Source organism: Homo sapiens, chromosome 7 (genome assembly GCF_000001405.40).
Source record: "Homo sapiens chromosome 7, GRCh38.p14 Primary Assembly".
Taxonomy (NCBI): domain Eukaryota; kingdom Metazoa; phylum Chordata; class Mammalia; order Primates; family Hominidae; genus Homo; species Homo sapiens.
Genome location: NC_000007.14, coordinates 105587227 through 105601654, shown reverse-complemented (window position 1 = coordinate 105601654; position 14428 = coordinate 105587227). Strand labels below are relative to the sequence as shown.

The following is a 14428-nucleotide window of genomic DNA, read 5'->3' as shown; positions in this document are numbered from 1 at the left end:
TGGTGACTGCTGTCCTTGGCTTCCCTGGTTTAGAGGCTCAACCCTCAAATCTGCTTCCACATTCACATGGCCTTCTTCCCTGTTTCTCCCATGTCTTAAATCTCCCACTGCCTTTCTTTCACAAGGATAACTGTTACTGAACTTAAGGCCCACCCTAAATCCTAGATGATCTCATCTGGAGATGCCTAACATCCGCAAATTCTGGTTTTCCAAATAAGGTCACACTGGCAGGGCCTGGGGGTTAGGACATATCTTTTGGGAGCCACTATTCAACATACCACAGTGGCCTCAGCAAAACAGGTATGACAGAGTAGCGTTGGCATGGGAGGGCGGAGCATGGGCAAAGCCAAACTGGAGTGGTTTGGAGGGTGTGTGAGAGCTAAGCAAGGGAATTCCTTTTGTAGACAGACAAATCCTAAGGAGCTTAGCACGAGGGAGGCTTTGGATTTTGTGTTTTTTGTTTTTCAAGGGAGGAGAGACCAGATTATAATCCATATGCTGGTAAGACTGAGGTAAATAGGAGAGGGAGAGGTTAAGAAAGCAAGAGAAAGAGGTGTGGTAATGGTTAGGCTTTGTGTCCCCATACAAATCTCATCTTGAATTGTAATCTCCAGAATCCCCAGAATCCCCACGTGTTAAGGGGGAGACCAGGTGGAGGTAATTGAATCATGGAGACGGTTTCTCCCATGTGGTTCTCCTGATAGTGAGTGAGTTCTCACGAGATCTGATGGTTTTATAAGTGGCTCTTCCCTCCCAACCCCCGCCCTCGACTCCCCGCCCATTCGCTCGGCACGTCTCCTTCTTGCTGCCTTGTGAAGAATGTGTCTTGCTTACCCTTCGCCTTCCACCATTATTGTGAGTTTCCTGAGGCCTCCCCAGCCATGCTGAACTGTGAGTCAATTAAACCTCTTTCCTTTAGAAATTACCCAATCCCAGGTAGTTCTTTATAACAGTATGAAAACAGACTCATACAGGGTGATTTAAAAGAGAGTTATCTGACTAAATAAAAAAAAAAGTCCTTGAGATGGCAGGAGGGAGGGAGATGCTGGCCTTTGTAGAAAGAGGGACACCTCTAAGGCAATGGGGAGGAAGTCAGCTTATAGATTTATTGCTGGGAAGATGAGGGAATGCCCAGCTGATGGCTTCCGTTTTCTGAGTGACCATGAGGCAAGATGAATGTGTATGAAAGCTTGGGAGAAGTTTGAGAAAAGTAAAGAAAGAATTAAGGGCTGGGCTTAGTGGTTCACACCTGTAATCCTAGCCCTTTGGGAGGCCAAGGTGGGTGGATTGCTTGAGTCCAGGAGTTCAAGACGGCAACATGGCAAAAACCCGTCTCTATAAAAGAAAATACAAAAATTAGCCCGGCATGGTGGCGGGCACCTGCAGTCCCAGCGGGTGGATTCTTTGAGCCCAAGAGTTCAATGCTGCAGTGAGCTCTGATCAAGCCACGGCACTCCAGCCTGGGTGACAGAGCGAGACCCTGTCTCAAAAAAAAAGTAAAGAACTAAATTGCCAGACAGACAGTGCTGAGAGCACATTTGAAATTCATGTCTAAGATCCTGACATGGAGAAGATCATCTTGGGGAGTAGTTGGAGTGCCCGAAGAGCAGAGCAAGGCCACTCGGAGCCAAAGCTGTCAGGCAAACTAAGGCGATTTTTTGCCATTTTGCTTCAGTCCCGAGTGAATATTTTCACTATGGTGCAGAACAGAAAGCCAGAGGAAGCAGACTTGAAACTTGACACATAGTAGGCACGTTGAATAAATGTTTGTAACATTGTATATTGCCCACTGTCACAAAACGGCAGTGTGGCACTTCCTGCACCAAGGACTTCTTTTGCCCACCAGTTCACTGAGAGCCTTGTCTGTGGCTGGCAGTCCATCACCATGCACTGGCCTGGGTAACATCAAGCTCTGTTGTGAAAGGGGCCTGTACATTCTGTTTTTTTCCAAAGCCAGAACTCTGTGAAGCCTCTTGCAAAACTAGTCATAGGCCTAGAAAAACCATAGGAAGCTGGAAGTGATCTTAACCCTAGAACCCTCTTCTACAGGTGGGACAGCTTATTTTTGTTTACGTGGGGGGCTTTTTTTTTTGAGACAGTGTCTCACTCTGTCACCCAGACTAGCACAATCAGGGCTCACTGCAACCTCAACCTCCTAAGCTCAAGTGATCCTCCGGCCTCAGCTCACTGAGTAGCTGGGACCACAGGTGCATGCCACCACACCCAGCTAACATTTTGTATTTTTAGTAGAGATGGGGTTTCACCATGTTGCCCAGCCTGGTCTCGAACTCCTGTACTCAAACGATCCACCCTTCTTGGCCTCCCAAATGGCTGGGATTACAGGCATGAGCCACTACGCCTGGCCAAGACTGGGACAGTTTAAATGAGATACTAAGACCTCACAGCTGGCTGTTGGTCAAGCCCGATTGTTCTTTCAAAACAGTGCTCTTTCCATTTCCTGTAGAAAGAAATTCTACCGGCCAGGCACGGTAGTTCACACCTATAATCCCAGCGCTTTGGGAGGCCGAGGTGGGTGGATCACCTGAGGTCAGGAGTTCAAAACCAGCCTGGACAACATGGCAAAACCCCATCTCTACTAAAAACACAAAAATTAGCTGGGCGTGGTGGCATACGCCTGTAATCCCAGCTACTTGGGAGGCTGAGGCAGGAGAATCGCTTGAACCTGGGAGGCAGAGGTTGCAGTGAGCCGAGATCTTGCCACTGCACTCCAGCCTGGGTGACAGAGCAAGACTCTGTCTCAAAAAAAAAGAAAAAAAGAAAACTCTACCCACAGACTGTTCTTCCTATACCACTGTATTTCCATAAAGGTGTTTCAAAATTCAGTGTATCAGCCAGGCACACTGAATGGTGAAACCCCATCTCTACTAAAAACACGAAAACTAGCCAGACATGGTGGCGGGCACCTGTAATCCCAGCCATTTGGGAGGCTGAGGTAGGAGAATCACTTGAACCCAGGAGGCAGAGGTTGCAGTGAGCCAAGATTACACTACTGTACTCCAGCCTGGGTGACAGGGTAAGACTCTGTCTCAAAAAAAAAAAAAAAAATTCAATGTGTCCTCTAGTTGGTTTACTTAGGTTTTACTATACTTAAATATTTTTCTCCTTTTTGTTTTTTTCCATTAGGCAATAACCACTTGCCTAATGGATTATTTCTTGCTTTCTGATCTCATTGGGGCTATTCAGAGCAGCAGGTTTTAAGTACCCATGTTTCTAATAAAGTTCCCAGGAATTTATTTTAATAAGTTTATTTTCTATTCGTCACATCTTCATAAGCCATTCAACTAGAAAAGTAAATGAAAAAGATGCCAAGAAAGCTGAATGCCTCAAAAACCAAATCAATCCTATTCAAGACTGAATCATTGGAGAATCATTGTGGGAAGCTTGTAACAATTTGGAGGTGCTGCATTTATTGAGATAATTCAAAACTTGAATCTGATCTAAGGTCATTAACTTTAGGAAGGTTCTCCATTTTTAAAATGGTGGAACTTTTCTGGGTTTCCCCTTCAGCCATCAAATATTTTAGTAAATTTGTAAAGCAAACAGCATCATCACAAAAGTGTTTGCTTCCTTTGCAACCTGAACAAGTACTGAGAAAGCTGCTATTAAAATAGGAGCTTCTCCAGCATGGGCAACATGGTGAAACCCTGCCTATACCAAAAATACAAAAATTAGCCAGACTTGATGGGAGCCTGTAGTCCCAGCTACTCAGGAGGCTGGGGTGGAGAACGGTTCGAGCCTGGGAGGTGGAGGTTGCCGTGAGCCAAGGTCACGCCACTGCACTCCAGCCTGAGCAACAGAGAGACCCTGTCTCAAAAAAGTAGCTGGGTGTGATGGCTCATGCCTGTAATCCAACACTTAAGGAGGCCAAAGTGGGTGGATCATTCAAGGTCAGGAGTCTGAGACCAGCCTGGCCAACATGGTGAAACCATGACTCTACTAAAAATACAAAAATTAGCCAGGCATGGTGGCACGTGTCTGTAGTCCCAGCTACCTCAGGAGGCTGAGGCATGAGAATTGCTTGAACCTGGGAGGCAGAGATTGCAGTGAACTGAGATCGCGCCACTGCACTCCAGCCTGGGCAACAGAGTGAGACTCCGTCTCAAAAAAAAAAAAAAAAAATTAGCTTCTAAAGTCTATTAGAATTTTCATTTTCTTTCAACCTACTTCACTTACCTTACTGATTTCATAGCCAACCTTTAGTCCCCTTTGTACCCCAAAAATCTCTTCCATGTTCCTCAATCCAAACACGACTTGCAGGCTAGGGGAGGAGAGTAATAATTCTTGCATATTATTGGAATAGGGCAAAGCAGAGCCCCAGGGAACAGAAGGGCATGGGGAGGAAAATCTTGGGGATCCTGGAGCTTTTCTTTTGGAAAGAATCAGAGGCAGGTTTTGTTTTCAATGTGTACACGTCTTTTGGTTCTGTGCAACTCAATAAACTGAGAACATTTTGACATGGGCTAGATGTTCCACATGAAGAGGACCAGCTGACTCTGCTGTAGGACAGACCCGGAGAGGGAGCCTCCAAGTCCGTGCTCACCTTCCAGCACTGGGAGGTTGTTCCTGCCAGGCCCATGCTGAGCCCAGCATTGTTTAACATTTTAATTAATGAATGGGTATTCAAAGTAACCTTGGTGAATTAAAGCCATGAATACAAACAGACTGATTTATAGAACAGTGGTTACCTTTGTGGGGGCACAAGAGAGATTTCTGCAGTGCTGGAAATGCTCTGTATCTCGACCTGGGAGCTTGTTAAATGAATCTAATCGTTTGTGAAATATTTATCAGGTTATATACTTAAGATATGTTCATTTTATTATGCACTCTTAAATTTGAAAGTTTATACACACACAAAAGGCAAACGGCAGACTTGGAGTGATAATTATCTTATCAGAAGAAGAAAGTTAAAGTACTCTGAGGAGAATACTGATGAGAAGCCCATTTTCTCCTCCCATCTCCCAGAGGCAGTAGGTACCACAGAGGATGGGGTGTAACAAGATGTTGAAAATGGAGAAGGAGGTTTGAAAGTCTCACATGAGGTTGTTGGACCCCCACAAGTCCCCTTCACCTATGCAGCCCAGTGGTGACTTCCCCCAGTCCCTAGCAGGGAACTGGAGGGTTATTTTCCGGAGAAATTAAATGGAACACTCAGAGGTTCAGGACTCAAGGATACCAGGCCTATTTTTAAATTTTTAATTAAAAATTATAAAACATTAAAAAATAAGAAGTTACCAGCCAGGCACGGTGGCTCATGCATGTAATCCCAGCACTTTGGGAGGCTGAGGCGGGTGGATCACGAGGTCAGGAGATCGAGACCATCCTGGCTAACACGGTGAAACCCCGTCTCTACTAAAAATACAAAAAATTAGCTGGGCGCGGTGGCAGGCTCCTGTAGTCCCAGCTACTCGGGTGGCTGAGGCAGGAGAATGGCGTGAACCCGGGAGGCGGAGCTTGCAGTGAGCCGAGATCGCCCCACTGCACTCCAGCCTGGGCATCAGAGCGAGACTCTGTCTCAAAAAAAAAAAAACAAAAAAAAAAAAACAAAAATAAATAAATAAAAATAAGAAGTTACCAGTTGCCTGGTCCACCCCATAATCCGGTTGAATCAGCATTTATAGAGGGAGTAGGAATCCAGGCATTTGTATTTAAATGCTCTTCAGGGAATTTAACATACCCTTAGAAAATAAATGAAAATAACGAAGCAAAAACATTAAAAAAAAAAAAAAAAAATAGAGGCCAGGCACAGTGGCTCACACTTGTAATCCCAAAACTTTGAGAGGCTGAAGCAGGAGGATCGCTTGAGACCAGCCTGGGCAACATAGCAAGATCTTGTCTATATTTTAGAAAGAAGAAGGTCGGGCATGGTGGCTCACGCCTGTAATCCCAGCACTTTGGGAGGCCGAGGCGGGTGGATCACGAGGTCAGGAGATCGAGACCATCCTGGTTAACATGGTGAAACACCATCTCTACTAAAAATACAAAAAATTAGCTGGGTGTGGTGGCGGGCACCTGTAGTCCCAGCTACTCGGGAGGCTGAGGCAGGAGAATGGCATGAACCTGGGAGGAGGAGCTTGCAGTGAGCTGAGATCGCCCCACTGCACTCCAGCCTGGGCAACAGAGCGAGACTCCGTCTCAAAAAAAAAAAAAAAAGAAATATAGGGGAGCCATTAGGTGATCTTACCTTCATGTTTACCAAAGTACAGTGTTTGGCCCTGTGCTTCGAAGCTTAAAGAGATTGGATGGATACAGGACCAGAGAAAAACTGAAAGTGATAAAAAATAATTACAGTGAAAAGTTGTGGAATCTATTTCTCTGGAAATGGTTAAAAAGGGAATGCCTGGGATGTCTTTAAAAGCAATCTGCTTCAATTTTCCAAGGGAGATTTTGTATTGTAAAGCTTGGTGTGGATTACCATATGGGTTACATTGACATTCTGGGGCTTTTTCATTCCAAAAATATGTGTATTTCATATTTCTGTGAACATCAAATTTGTCTTTAGAGATCACCTTAAAATTCCAAGAGGGAAGGACCTGGGCTGTCTTGTTCAGTGTTGTTCAGTTCCTAAATAGCATCAGGCATACAGTTGGTATACAACAAATGATTGTTGAATGAACAATGAAGGAGCTAGTGGTATGCTGGTAAATGTGAAACAACAGCCTATGGGGGGTGAGAGGGAAAGCGTCTGTGAATTTCTGTGACAGAAATATGCCCACCATGGCTAATATCAAGCTAGCAGCAGCCTGTCCTCACTGAACACAGAGCTGAAAAGAGACACCATCGATGCTCCTGAGGCTGTGCAAACCAGCTCCAGTATACTGCCGATTCTGTCCAATGCAGCAGACATACTGTGACCAGCAATACTATATTAATTCATGTTCGACTGTGTGAAATAATGTATCCCCTAGAGCCACCGATGAGAACCTGGCTGTCCTTTGGAAGTGACCAACACTCAATACTAAAAATTTTACCATTTTAAACTTTTAACCATATTTCTGCTTGAAAAGGGTATTCAGGCAAAGTGATGTCTTAGTTTCAAAAATAATATACGAGTAACTATCTGTCTTCCTCGTATAAGTGATCCCCGCTCTGTGGGCTATGCTCCAAATGTTTCATTTGCAACCTAATATAATCTTCATTTAAATGCAAAATCAAGGGTGATTAGGTTGCAGGACAACCCATAAAGGCCCCATGATGCACCTGAAGTCTAATATCAATACAGTAGCATTTTGGGAAATGCATTCTCAGTTTCAGCCAGGGAAGACAGGATTGCGTGCCACCTGGCCATCATCCCAGCTATGAGAAAGTACACCCTTCCACCTCGCCATCTGCCAGGAGAGCAAAGACTTCTAGTCTGCACCCAGGGCAGACTCCCAGCTCTAAGCAGTACCGGCACTGCTCTGATATCAAGAAATGAGCTAAAGGGCTAGGATTCCCCTGGTGGTGGCAGTGGTGGTAAATAATGTTATTGATCATGTGTTTCACAGTTTTTCTAATTTAATCCTCAAAATAACTGTGAGGTATGTAAGATTATTATCTCCATTTTACAGGTGAGAAAACCAAAGTTTAAAGAGATCAGGTAATTTGTTCAAGATCATAACAGCTAGTAAGTGGGGAAGCCTCTTGGGAAAGGGTCCTTGACTTCCCCATGTAACTTGTGTAAATAGGAGATCATCTGTGGTCACCTTTCATATAAATAATATAGAAGATCAAAGAGTGTTGGTGTTCATAAATTTTGTTCTGGGCTTCAATTTGGTGGACCTAATTAAAGCTTAAACAGAACTAGCCAGTGTGATGGGAGCTAAATTTAGGCTCAGTTTATAATATGATGTTCTGAAATTCAGAAGTAGCCTCAAAAATGAAACAGGAAGCACTTTGGGAGGCCGAGGCGGGCGGATCACGAGGTCAGGAGATCGAGACCATCCTGGCTAACACGGTGAAACCCCGTCTCTACTAAAAATACAAAAAATTAGCCGGGCGTGGTAGCGGGCGCCTGTAGTCCCAGCTACTCAGGAGGCTGAGGCAGGAGAATGGCGTGAACCTGGGAGGCGGAGCTTGCAGTGAGCCGAGATCGCGCCACTGCACTCCAGCCTGGGCGACAGAGCGAGACTCCGTCTCAAAAAAAAAAAAAAAAAAAAAAAAAAAAAAGGAAAAAAAGAGTGCATGTAAAAACTGGTGAAATCCAAATAAGATCTATAGCTGAGTTAATAGCATTGTAGCAATGTCAATTTACTGATTCTACAGTTATGAGATATTAGCATCGGGAGAAGCAAGTTTTTTTAATGAAGTACTGTAAAGGGGTATCATAGGCCCACGATCCCAACCTTGTCCTGCCATCCTTCATACTGTGGCCACTCGATGTTTTCTACACTTTCATGTTTGGTAAAATGAATTTAGTGTTTTAAAATGTTTTAAGCATGTTTGCTTTTTAGGTCCATGAAGAATGAGCAAAGGCTGGATACACTTTTCGAGTCCATCTTGTACTGCCTCAGATGTTAAATGTTATTTTACAAAGACTGAGATGGAACTTTTGAGATTTGAGTTCTAATAGTTGTCACTATTAGTCTATGTTCTTGGTTGGTTGTTTTTAACTTTAAAAATGCAGCTCCCTGGCTGAGCGCAGTGGCTCATGCCTGTAATCCCAGCATATTGGGAGGCGAAGGTGGGTGGATCACCTGAGGTCAGGAGTTCGAGACCAGCCTGGCCAACATGGCACAACCCCATCTCTACTAAAAATACAAAATTAGCTGGATGTGGTGGCACACGCCTGTATTCCCAGCTATTTGGGAGGCTGAAACAAGATAATTGCTTGAACCCAGGAGGCGGAAGCTGCAGTAAGCTGAGATCGCACCACTGCACTCCTGCCTGGGCAAGGCAGAACGAGACTCCATCTTAAAAAAAAAAAAAAAAAAAAAAAAAAAGGCAGCTCACCAATGAAACAACTTGGTGAAAGTAAAATCACATTCTAAACTTATGTCTCCCTTATGATTTGCACAAGAATATTAAGCATATAATAAATATCTTGCCTTCCTCTCACATTGCCACATAGAACCAAGAGTCTAGAGTTTTGAAAAAACACAACACAAGGCTGGGTGCAGTGGCTCACGCCTGTAATCCCAGCACTTAGGGAGGCTGAGGCAGAAGGATCACTTGAGACCAGGAGTTTAAGACAACCCTGGGCAACATACACTTCTATCTCTGCAAAAAAAAATTTTTTTAATTAGCCAGGCATGGTGGTGCTTTGGGAGGTCAAGGCTGCAGTGAGCTGTGATTGGATCATTGTACTCCAGCCTGGGTAACAGAGTGAGACCCTGGGACCGAAAAAAACCACACACACACAAAATCTGAAATGTTACTCCAAAAACATTTCCATAGGAAACCAAGCAGGACAGCCTATGGACATAGGTTATAGAGACTATAGGAATTTTTCTTTTCCTCTCATTTTAACAAGACTAAGATGATAATGGCAAACATTTAGTACATGCCTGGCACCATTTTAAGAGCTTTACATATATTGGTTCATTCGGTCCTGAAGACAACCCCTGTGAGGTAGATATATTATCCCCATTATATCCATGAGGAAACTGAGGCAGAGAATCTAGCTTTTTGCCCCAGGTGACACAGTTAACGGGCAGTGGTAAGACTGGGATTGGAAGTGAGGCAGTGTGGCTCCAAAGGCCATTACGGCACACTGCGTGTTTTCTCAGGAAATTACCCTTTATATTGTTTTCCTTCCTTTTTAATAGCAACCAAAACTCCTAGCTGAGCCATCTCTGACTTGTTCCTCGTTGAAACAAAAAATGGAGAGAGGAAATCAGGCCCCAGTCTGTTCTGGACACTCATGTCTCCTCATTTTCCATCTTATACAATTCCCTCCCCTGCCAACACACACCCTGAGCTATAACTCAAGGCTGACAGGCAGACTGACAAGTCTACCTGACACTAAAGCCCAGTGTCTTTATGCTGGTGGTCCACACATAGGGTGACCAAGTGTTCCAGTTTACCTGGGATTTTTCCAGTTTTATCACTGAAAGTTTCATGGCACTGGAAACCCCTCCCTCCATAACAAATCAGGACAGTTGGTCACTCTATGCTCTAGAACCCTGCGGGGGAGCTGTTAATGAACTGATGACTGAAACAGGCCCACACTCCTACTTTCAGAGCAAAGCAATTTTATCAGACTCTCTGGGGGAAGAGGGAGCAGACACTGCATTTTCCTTTTTTAAATTTCTTTCTCTTTTTTAGGCTAGTCAAATGAAGCAGTGGGATATGCTGCATTTTCAAAAAGCCTTCCCAGGAGACTACAGTGTTTGTGCTGGGTCAAGAATCACAGTAAGTCTACACCAAGCAGAAGCTGTGTACTCTCAAACTCTTGTGGACTCCTGATCAAACGCTGCCCAGCCCTTCGCCTCAACCCACCCAGCTTGGAGTAATGCAGGGACTCGGGTCTGGTTGTCCATTAGAATCATGTGGGAAGCTTTTAATGCTTATCAGCTTGGGAATGCAAAATGGTATAGCCACTCCAGAAAACAGTTTCTTAAGAAGTTAGACACATGGCCGGGCACAACGGCTCATGCCTGTAATCCCAGCAGTTTGGAAGGCCGAGGCAGGAGGATTGCTTGAGGCCAGGAGTTTGAGACTAGCCTGGGCAACATAGCAAGACCCCATCTCTTAAAAAAAATTTTTTTTCAATTAGCCAGGTGTGGTGGCATGTGTCTGTACTCCTAGCTACGTGGGAGATTAAGGCAGGAGGATTATTTGAGCCCAGGAGTTCAGTTCAAGGCTGCAGTGGGCCATAATTGTGCCACTGTACTCCAGCCTGGGCAACGGAGTGAGACCTTGTCTCTTAAATAAATAAATAAAAATTTAAAAAGCCGGGCATGGTGGCTCACACCTGTAATCCCAGCACTTTTGGGAGGCCAAGACAGGCACATCACTTGAGTCCAGGAATTTAAGACCAGCCTGGGCAACATAGTGAGACCTAGTCTCTACCAAAAAAAAAAAAATTAGCTGGGCATAGTGGCACACGCCTGTAGTCCCAGTTTCTTGGTAGGCTGAGCTGGGAGGATCACTTGAGTCCAGGAGGTCCAGGCTGCAGTGAGCCTTAATTACACCACTGCACTCCAGCCTGGATGACAGAGTGAGACTGTTAAAAAAAAAAAAAAAAAAAAAAATTAAGTACCGACCATCCAGCCATTCCACTCCTAGGTATTTCCCAGAGATAAATGAAATTGTATATCCATGTATATGAATATTCATAGTGGCTTTAGTTGCAATAGTCCAAAACTGAAAACAACCCAAATGTGCATCAACAGGTAAGTGGGTAAACAAATTCTCATATATACATTCAGTGGAATCCTTCTCAGGAATAAAAATGAATGAAATATTAATACATGTAGCAACATGGATGAATCTCAAAAAATTATGTTGAGTGAAAGAAGCCAGACCAAAAAAAAGACCACATACTATGGTTCCATTTGCGAACAAATCTCTAGTTACAGGTAGTAGGTCAGTGGTTGCCTGGGGATGGGGTTGGGGAATGAATGTTCATTATCTTGCTGTAGTGATGATTTCATGGCTGTATACAAACTTACCACATAGAACATTTTAAAAATGTGCACTTTATCAAATGTTAATTATACCTCAATAGAGCTGTTAAAGCAACAACAGCAAAACCACCAATGTCCCAGCCCCATCCCAGGAGATTGTGTTTCACGGCCTGAAATGGGCACAGATACCAGTACTTTTTAAAGCCTCCCAGGTGGTTCTAAGGTGTTGCCCGGACTGAGAACCACAGCATGAATGCCCCCCACCTGGAGCCACCCTACAACCACTAAAAGAATTAGTCATAATATTAAGAGTGATGAGGAGGTGAGGACAAGTTGTGGAAGGAGCAGTGCTATGAGGATGCTGAAGATGATTCATTAAGCCCAGTTTGGTTTATTAACAGATGGCACCAACAGAGAATAGCTAACTCCACTAGGTGGCATCCGGACACTTCTCTTCAGCGTGGTTTCCAGGGCAATGGGAGATGCAGGGCACCATCTGAGTTGTGCTGAGAGAGTGCTGAGCACACAGTGTCGTTCCTCTGATGCAGAAAGGACCCAGCCTTGTTGGAAAAGAAAACAACCAGAAACTTGGCAAGAGGTCAGCAGGGCCCGCTGTGCTCTCCTCAGCCTAACTTCATAGCCAGAGGAAATCAGACTATTGCAGTTTCAGTGTCATTTGAGGTTCCAGAGTACAAAGAGCAGAGCTATTCAGGGACCAAGTAACTCCTGAAGAGTAAGTAAATATGTTCTCAGCCAGGTGCAGTGGCTCCCACCTGTAATCCCAGCACTTGGGAGGCCTAGGTGGGAGGATTGATTGAGCCCAGGAGTTTGAGACTAGCCTGGGCAACATAGTGAAACCCCAACCCTACAAAAAAAAAAAAATTAGCTGGGCATGGTGGTGCATGCCTGTAGTCACACCTATTCTAGAGGCTGAGGTAGGAAGATTGCTTCAGTTGAAGAGGTTGAGGCTGCAGTGAGTTGTGATCATACCACTGTACTCCAACCTGGGTGACAGAGCAAGACCCTGTCTCAATAGAAATAAAAAATAGGCCAGGTGCGGTGGCTCACACCTGTAATCCCAGCACTTTGGGAGGCCAAGGCGGGCAGTTCACTTGAGCTTAGGAGTTTGAGACCAGTCTAGGCAACGTGGAGAAACCTCATCTCTACAAAAAAATACAAAAATTAACCGGGCGTGGTGGTGTATGCCTGTAGTCCCAGCTACTCGGGAGGCTGAGGCATGAGAATCACTTGAACCTGAAGGCGGAGGTTGCAGTGATCTGAGATGGTACCACTGCACTCCAGCCTGGGCGACGGAGCAAGACTGTCTCAGAAAAATAATATATGACGTTCTCAAGGAGAAGACCCAATGTCTTGTGCTTTATAGCACTGAGCAGAAACCACTGTATGCAGGGGATCAGGACTTTGTCTTCTCTCCCTTATTAAGGAATATTCCTTACATTTTTTCCACTTTGTTTTGTTTAGGCCACACTGGCCTTGGGCAAGTTGAAGGATATCATGACAGCAGACGTAAAGCAGCCCCCTCTGTCTGCTGTGACTCGCATCCTCCTCCCCAGGCCTGTGGTCTCCTGCTTCTCATAGTCACTGTCACCACTGCAGGCTCCCCCTCCATTTCTCATCCCTGTTGTCATCGCCTCGCCTCTGCTGTACTGGCCGCTAAGCAGAGCCAGAGCCGCTTTCCCAAGCGATCATACAGCTTTGGTCAACCCTGCAGGTTCAAGCACTTAGCCAGAATTTGAAGGAGGGGCACATAATTTGGGTCTTCCTGTTTACGCTTTACTCTCCCTTCTACCACTGAAAGTAAAGCAAGTCCCCAGGGGAGTGGATCAAAAAAAAAAAAACCACTGAAGAATAACATCCACATCAGTAGTTTTCAAACTCTCCCTGGAACCCATCAGGAACCAGGCTTCAGAGAGGGCCCTCGGATCCACAGGCACCAGAGCAATGCATCAACTTTGTCAGCTGAGTTCTGTCTCTGCCTCAGAGCTCCCCAGGCTCCAGTTAACTCTGTCACTATGATCACACAGGCAGCCAGCCATGCTTCTGTAAGAAAGATACAAAACAAGGGAGCTTAGAAAATGTGATCTTGCTGCCGGGCGTGGCGGCTTATGCCTGTAATCCCAGCATTTAGGGAGGCTGAGGCTGGCAGATCACCTGAGGTCAGGAGTTCAAGACCAGCCTGGCCAATATGGTGAAACCCCATCTCTACAAAAATACAAAAATTAGCTGGGCATGATGGCAGGTGCCTGTAATCCCAGATACTTGGGAGGCTGAGGTGGGAAAATCACTTGAACCTGGGAGGAGGAGGTTGCAGTGAGCCGAGATGCACCATTGCACTCCAGCCTGGGTGACAAAGACTCAGTCTCAAAAAAAAAAAAAACACAAGAAAATGTGATCTTATTCTATGTGAATTCCAGTGTAGTGCTCTTTTATCTGTTGTATATGTATTTGTGGACAGGGGTAATGGGAAGAGATTCCACATATGATTTTTTTTTTAAGTATTCTGCTATTAAAAAGTTTGTAGAACAGTCTCCAACATCCTTCTGAAAGACCCTTCTTACAAACCCAAGCCAGTGGTGCAGATTTGGGCACATAGTTTTGTTTGTTTGTTTTGTTTTGTTTTCTTTCTGAGACACAGTCTTGCTCTGTTGCCCAGCCTGGAATACAGTGGCACAATCTCAGCTCACTGCAACCTCCACCTCCCAGGTTCAAGCGATTCTCATGACTCAGCTTCCCGAATAGCTGGGGCTACAGGTGTGTACCACCACAGCTGGCTAATTTTTGTATTTTTAGTAGAGATGGGGTTTTGCATGTTGTTTAAGTGACAGCAACAGGAGGCAGCC

At 44.9% G+C, this 14428-nt stretch overlaps 4 annotated features.

Annotated features, from left to right (window-relative positions):
* Positions 146-923: an enhancer, noted in NCBI's record as "H3K27ac hESC enhancer chr7:105241179-105241956 (GRCh37/hg19 assembly coordinates)". NCBI's record gives its function as "activates a minimal SCP1, AML or CMV promoter by ChIP-STARR-seq in naive H9 embryonic stem cells {active_cell/tissue: H9 hESC(naive)}" and the evidence as "EXISTENCE:reporter gene assay evidence [ECO:0000049][PMID:30033119]".
* Positions 579-873: an enhancer, noted in NCBI's record as "tiled region #12225; HepG2 Activating non-DNase unmatched - State 22:ReprW, and K562 Activating DNase matched - State 5:Enh". NCBI's record gives its function as "activates a minimal TATA promoter and a strong SV40 promoter by Sharpr-MPRA in HepG2 and K562 cells {active_cell/tissue: HepG2 | K562}" and the evidence as "EXISTENCE:reporter gene assay evidence [ECO:0000049][PMID:27701403]".
* Positions 9619-9913: a silencer, noted in NCBI's record as "tiled region #14983; K562 Repressive non-DNase unmatched - State 23:Low". NCBI's record gives its function as "represses a minimal TATA promoter and a strong SV40 promoter by Sharpr-MPRA in K562 cells {active_cell/tissue: K562}" and the evidence as "EXISTENCE:reporter gene assay evidence [ECO:0000049][PMID:27701403]".
* Positions 11928-12117: an enhancer, noted in NCBI's record as "active region_26467". NCBI's record gives its function as "activates an Ori minimal core promoter by ATAC-STARR-seq in GM12878 lymphoblastoid cells {active_cell/tissue: GM12878}" and the evidence as "EXISTENCE:reporter gene assay evidence [ECO:0000049][PMID:35858748]".